Source organism: Homo sapiens, chromosome 7, assembly GCF_000001405.40.
Source record: "Homo sapiens chromosome 7, GRCh38.p14 Primary Assembly".
Classification (NCBI taxonomy): Eukaryota; Metazoa; Chordata; class Mammalia; order Primates; family Hominidae; genus Homo; species Homo sapiens.
Genome location: NC_000007.14, coordinates 24549863 through 24557132, shown reverse-complemented (window position 1 = coordinate 24557132; position 7270 = coordinate 24549863).

The following is a 7270-nucleotide window of genomic DNA, read 5'->3' as shown; positions in this document are numbered from 1 at the left end:
GGCCCAATTCTAGCTTACCCACACTTTGTTCATTCCAGCCGCCTCCATCTTCCAAATAGAACTGTCTCTGTCCACTCTTAGAAGGAGAAAGTCCTTTTCCTTAGTTCTTGATATACGTGTAGGAACTAATTTATGAATGGCCAATGAATGCTTTTTTGGCAGTCATGGGCTACCATCCTGATATGGTTCTTTTTTCCTCCTGATGATTGCTGTCTTACAGACAAAGAAAAATATTTTTTTCTGGGCTCAAATCCTTGTTCTGCCACTTATCTGCTGTGTGACATTGAGCATCACTTTTTCACTTGTTACCTCATAAGGGTTCTGTAAAGATTAAAGAAAATAAATAAAATTTATACTATTTAAATGCTTAATAAAACACCCAGCACATAATAATGGGTGAATAATGGTGGAGAATAAATGTTCATTCATTCCATTCACCTTTTTCTAGTTAGTAATGCATAAAGATAAGACACAGTGTGGTAGAGGGATAGTGTTAGATGTCTTAAACGCTTAGACAGTACTAAGTTATTCATGTGCCTTAACTGATCTAATCCTAGAACAGCTCAATAGTGTTCCTTATCATTTTACAGATGATGAAAGCTGAGGCCCAAGGAGATAAAGATACATGGCCAAAGTCACAAAATTTGAATTTACAGAGCTAGATTTGAACTGAACCCTCAAACTAGAAGACTGTTCAAACTTCTGACCCCATTTGTGGTATAGGATCCACTGGGGGTCAGAATTCTCTATAGATTAGATTCCAATTGCTCATCTGATACACCTGTATAATCACATTCCTGGACTCTCCCAAAGATGAAAATTCTAGCCTTCTTCCCATTATCCTCCACTCTGTATTAGTTAGGACCATCTGGGAAACTCTTGGGCGTCAAGTAGTTGGCAGAAGAAGCCAGAGTTCCTGATTAAAAAAGAATTGTGAACCATTTGACTATCTTTTTCATTCACCATTTTGCACAGTTCTGCAGCAGTCAGTATTATTAAGCATACTCAATAACTGACTCAGGCCAAAGCCAAACAAGTGGGGACGGGCTCTGTCTGGGCATTGAGTTTAATGCTCAGCTCATAGAGCTGCCTGGCTTGATGTTATGGCTTCTCAAACACACTTTTTGTCAGTTCCAAAAAGGCCATTAGGTTAGTACGTGCCTAACCACAGTACATCTGTCTATTTTGGATAACAACGAGCGCTTTTCCAGCTGTTTATTTTTCTACCTTCCTTCTTTGTTTCCCTAGGGCTTGAGCTTTTAGCATCCATGATTTATTTTCAAGCTGTTAGGCCAAATCCAGAATTATCATTCTAAATTTCATATGACTTGGCCTCATCCATTTTCGAACTTACTTAAACCCTAAAATACACACACACACACACCTTTTGTAATTTAACACCTGGCCAAACATAGTTTTAATTACCGCCACTTAATACATGCATCTATAAATTTTTCTTCTTTTTACATAATTTATTTCTTTGCATATGTAAAACATGCACATTATTCCGAAGCCAAAACTATGTAACAAGACAGAATCAAAGAAATCTTGTTTCCCAGCCCATCTGAAGGGAAGGAGGAGAAGGGTGGAGGGGATGGGCTGGGAAATAAGACTTCTTTGATGTTTTTAAACATCTTAAAAGTATAATATACATACAATGATGGAATCACATCATAAATGTGGAGTTTGATGAATTCTCATAGGCTGAGCATACCTGTGTAACCACCAGCAAGGTGCAGAAACAGAATATTACCAGCAACCTAGAAACTGCTCTTGTGCCCTTCTTGCTTGCTGCTCCCCATTCTCCCCAGAGACAACTGCTCTCCTGAAACACTATGAATTAGCTTTGCCAGATGTTGAACTGTAAGTGGAATAATACAGTATATGTTCTTTTGTGCTTGGTTTCTTTCACTTGACAATATATTTATGACATCCATCCATGTTGTGTGTAGTAGAAATGTTCTGTCTTTTTTATTCCTGTTACCATAATCTATCATATTGAACATACAGTATATCATAATTTGTTTATGACTTTTGCTGTTGATGGAGAAATGAGTTTCTCATTTTTGGCTTAATCAATAGTGCTTCTTAATACCTTCTTGTACATGTCTTCTGATACACAAGGTATACATTTCTCGTAGGTATACTCCCAGAAGTAGAATTGCTGGGTCATGGGGTACGTGTATGTTCAGGCTTTAGTAGATACTGCCAAAGAGTTTCCAAAAGTGAATGTTCCAATGCACACTTCTTTCAGCAGTGTATAAGAGTTCCATTTGTTCCTCATATTTGACAACACTTGATAATTTATGTCTTACTAATTTTAGCCCTTCTGGTAGGTATCTCACCGTGCTTTCATTTTGTTTTTCCCTTATACTAATCATGTATACTAGTTTTTAATTTATTCTTCTACTATTTAGTTTTGCCCTTTTATTAGACAAAAGGTAATTCTCTCCATATACTGTTTTCTGTTATGCACACTGATTTTTTTTCACTTAGTATATCCTAGAGATCTCTGTATAATACAGTGTAGTAAGATTTTATTTTTTTCTACAGCTACATAGTATTCAATTGCATAGATGTGCCTGAGTTTATTCAATCAGTTCCCTATCAATGAAAATTTAGGCTGTTTCCAAACATTTTCTATTATAAATGTGCTGCAATTAATAGGCTTATGCACACATCTTTTCATATTTTTGCTACTGTATCTGTGGGAGAGATCCTTAGAACTGGCATTGCTGGGTCAAAGACAAATGCATATGTAATTTTGTTAGGTGTTGCCAGATTTCCCTCCATAGGCATTGTACCATTTTTTATTTTTTACAAGTGACCAGTAAGATATGTGGTTATATTTTATGCAATAACCCTCTTCTCTTAGAATGCTCAATAGCCAGGGAATTAAGACGTTGGCAAACCTTTTAAGTGAATAATCTTTTTTTTTTTTTTTTGAGACAGAGTCTCGCTCTGTTGCCCAGACTGGAGTGCAGTGGTGTGATCTTGGCTCACTGCAACCTCTGCCTCCTGAGTTCAAGCGATTCTTCTGCCTCAGCCTCCTGAGTAGCTGGGATTACAGGTGTGCACCATCACTCTTGGCTAATTTTTGTATTTTTAGTAGAGACAGGGTTTCACCATGTTGGTCAGGCTGTTCTCGAACTCCTGACCTCGTGATCCGCCTGCCTCAGCCTCCCAGAGTGCTGGGATTACAGGCATGAGCCACCATTCCTGGCCTAAGTGAATAATCCTTAAAAGTAAAAATATTTGATTATCTATAAAACTACAACCTCATAAAGCATTTTAATGTTCCTTAAATTTTATATGTACACATTTTAAGATGTGTATATATAAAAATTGAGTTAGTAATGTAATGTGTATTCATATGCATTCATATAAAATGTGGTTTTTAATAACAATGTATTAGCTAAGAATGTTTTAGTTGTGAGTTTAAGAGGGAAAAAAGTGAGGCATTCATTGATTCATATAACTGGGAAGTCAAAGGCAGACTTGCTAGTCAGGTATAATGAGATCCAGGGACTCAAACAATATTGATAGGAAACTTTCTTTCTCCCCATCTATGGCCTCTGCTTTCCTCAGTGTTAGCCAGGTTTTCATTGCCCTTCCTGCTTGCAGTCTCACAAGGCAAGAGGTCTTCTCTTGTCAAGCATCCACATCTGTCCCTACAAAAGGACTCTGACTTTCACTGAGCTGTGAACACCTCCTCTGTGTCAGAGAAGGTGATAGGGAGTTCTCTCGACTGAAACAAGCAGAATAAAGGAAGCTGAGGTCCACTTTCCCTGCCAAAAGGTTGTGGGCTACTCTAAAACAACAGATGTCTTTTATAGCTGCGAATTCTGTTGTCTGGATACACTGAAATTAATCTAGCCTCTCTCTGGTGCCCACCTTAACATTTAGGGTGTTTCCATGTTTTGCTAGTATACATTATATCATCTAAATATTCTTATATTCTACACTTTATTTCTTTAAGATAGATCTCTATAAATGGAATTACTAAGTGAGAGGATATGGATATTTCACATATATGGCCAAATCCTTCCAGGGTGCTTGTAGTAATATATACTCTCAGCAGCATTGATGAGACTGCTCTTCTACCACTCCCAGGGGAGCATTAGGAATTTTAATTTGATAGGGGTTATCACATTGCTTCATGCTTGATTTTCACAAAACAATAAATATCTGTTCTGTTTATAGTAGGTATTCGATACTTAGCTCTTCATTTTATTTATGTTTCAGATTTTCCTATCTTCTTTTCCCAATGCCTACTTACTCTTCTTCCAATTTAAAAGAAAAACTGTGAAATAAAAGAAAGGAGAATATATCTCTTAAGTGCAAAAATGTCAAGTTCTCATATTTTCCCCACTATACTTAAGATTTATGAGATGCCTTGAGCAAGTAGCAAGGTACAGCTGTGTCATCAAGAAGTGACTTGTGGGTGTGTGCAGCTGGTCATCATTTCTTCAGGTCTCCCATGAAAGCTTCTGCAAACAAACATACAATCTGAAGACACTGTGCTTGCTATGCTAACTGGCAAGGCAAATCCCCTCATCCTTCTTCCAACCAGGTTGTTACTCATAAACTCCTTTTAGACAGAAATTCTGGAGTCATCACTAACTTTGTTCACTGCAGCGTGTATTAGTCTGTTCTTGCACTGCTAATAAAGACACACCCGAGACTGAAAAATTTATAAATACAAAAAGGCTTAATGGACTCACAGTTTCACATGGCTGGGGAGGCCTCACAATCACGGTGGAGGGCAAAAGGCATGTCTTACACGGCAGCAGGCAAGACAGAATGAGAGCCAAGCAAAAGGGGAAACCCCTTATAAAAACATGAGATCTCATGAGACTTATTCACTACCATGAGAACAGTATGGGGAAATCGCCCCCATGATTCAATTATCTCCCACCGGGTCCCTCTCACAACACATGAGAATTATGGGAGCTGCAATTCAAGATTTTATCAGCCAAACCGTATCACAGTGGTTCTCAGACTATGGGCCCAGAATGCAAATTCTCAGGCCCTACCGCAGACCTACTATATCAATAACTCTGGCAATCTGCGTATGTGGGTGTAATTGTGGTAAAATACTCAGAACATAACATTTTCCATCTTAATCACTTTAAAATTTATTTTTAATTGGCAAGTAAAATTATATTTATCATGTACAACATGTTGTTTTGAAATAGTATATGCATTGTGGAATGGCTAAATCAAGCTAATTAACATAGGTATCACCTCACATTCACCTCACATACTTTTTTTTTTTTTTTAAGTTTGAGATGAGGTCTCACTCTGTCACCCAAGCTGGAGTGCAGTGGCGCCATCTCAGCTCACTGCAATCTCTGCCTCCCAGGCTCAAGCGATTCTTGCACCTCAGCCTCTCCAGTAGCTGGGACTACAGGCATGCACCACCACACCTGGCTAATTTTTGTACTTTTTTGTAGAGATGGGGTTTTACCATGTTGCCCGGGCTGCTCTCAAACTCCTGGACCCAAGCGATCCACCTGCCTTGACCTCCCAAAGTGCTGGGATTACAGCCATGAGCCACTGCACCCAGCCACTTTTAATTTTCTTTTTTTTTTAATGGTGAGAATCTTAACTGTTTCTAGGTGTACAGTTCAGTAGTGTTAGGTACATTCACATTGCTGCACAACCAATCTCTAGAATTCTTCTTGTCTTGCAAAACTGAAACTCTGTACCTATTAAACAGCAATTTCCCATTCTCTACATCCCCCAGTGCCTGGCAGCCACCATTCTATTGTATGTTTCCATGAATTTGACTGCTCAAGGTACCTCATGTAAGTGGAATCATATAACATTTGTCTTTTTGTGGCTGGTTTATTTCACTTAATATAATGTACTCAAGGTTTATCCATTTAGCATGTGTTGAATTTCCTTCTTTTTTTTTTTTTTTTTTGAGATGGAGTTTCGCTCTTGTTGCCCAGGCTGGAGTGCAATGGCACAATCTCAGCTCACCGCCACCTCTGCCTCCTGGGTTCAGGCAATTCTCTCGCCTCAGCCTCCAGAGTAGCTGGGATTACAGGCATGCACCACCACACCCAGATAATTTTGTGTTTTTAGTAGAGACGGGGTTTCTCCCTGTTAGTCAGGCTGGTCTCAAACTCCCGACCTCAGGTGATCCGCCCGTCTTGGCCTCCCAAAGTGCTGGGATTACAGGCGTGAGCCACCGCACCCGGCCAAATTTCCTTCATTTTTAAGGCTGATGAATATTCCATTGTCTATATACACCACATTTTGTTTATCCATTCATCCATCAGTGGATACTGGATTGCTTCCACCTGCCAATCTGTGGTTTAACAAATCCTTCAGGTGATCCTCATATACACTTAAGTTTGAGAACTCCTGGTTAATTGAAAATAAAAGTGTAGGGATTGTCATCTTGACCAATCTAGAATTCTTTTCAGAATGTGTTAAATTATGTTTGATACAGCAAGCTATTCTATATAATGCATATGACCCAGGATGAAATATAATACCTTTTTGCTTATAGTAAGCACACAAGGATGTAGAATGGAATACTACAATGACAAAAAAAATTTAGTAATGTTTGAAATAAAAACTGTTCAATTAAGCAAGAATATGTATGATAATGTGCTAAGATAGGCTAATCTGATTTTTGAAAGGTCAAAACTAGACTGGGCTGAAAACTAACAGGTTAAAAAGTTAAGGTAGATTTTTTTAAAAAAGTAATAAAGGACACATGCTATAAATAACATAAAGGTAAACAGAAGCATTCTATTATATGCTTACCATGGAATTCAGCGAGTTGTTCATGGGGTTGACAGAGCTATTTTAAAATAGCTGAATTCTTTTGCAGTTACCAGGGAACATTTGCCGTTATGTAAACTACCATTAAGAAGGGTAGTCAAATATCATGAAGCAGAGCATTAACTGACAGCTTGAGGTAGTCAGTCAGTTGAGGACCCCGTGGTGATGCAAAGCATTGCATAATGGGCTACGTGGGCTTTGGGATGGGGAGATTCAACTTTCCCACAAGATCCCAGCTAGAGAATTGTGTTGGAGGCAGAGTATAGTACTAGACAGGCTAATGATATGATTTCAAATAGGAATTTTAATTCTTTCTCAAGAAATGAACATATGTATTTGGTTTAGTATATTTTATTTGGAAGGAGAAAAAGATCCAAATGATGATATAATTGATACCTGGCAAAGGCAAGGTATTTAGATACAGATGATTTGAATGAATGAATGAATGAGTGAATAAATGAGTAAATAA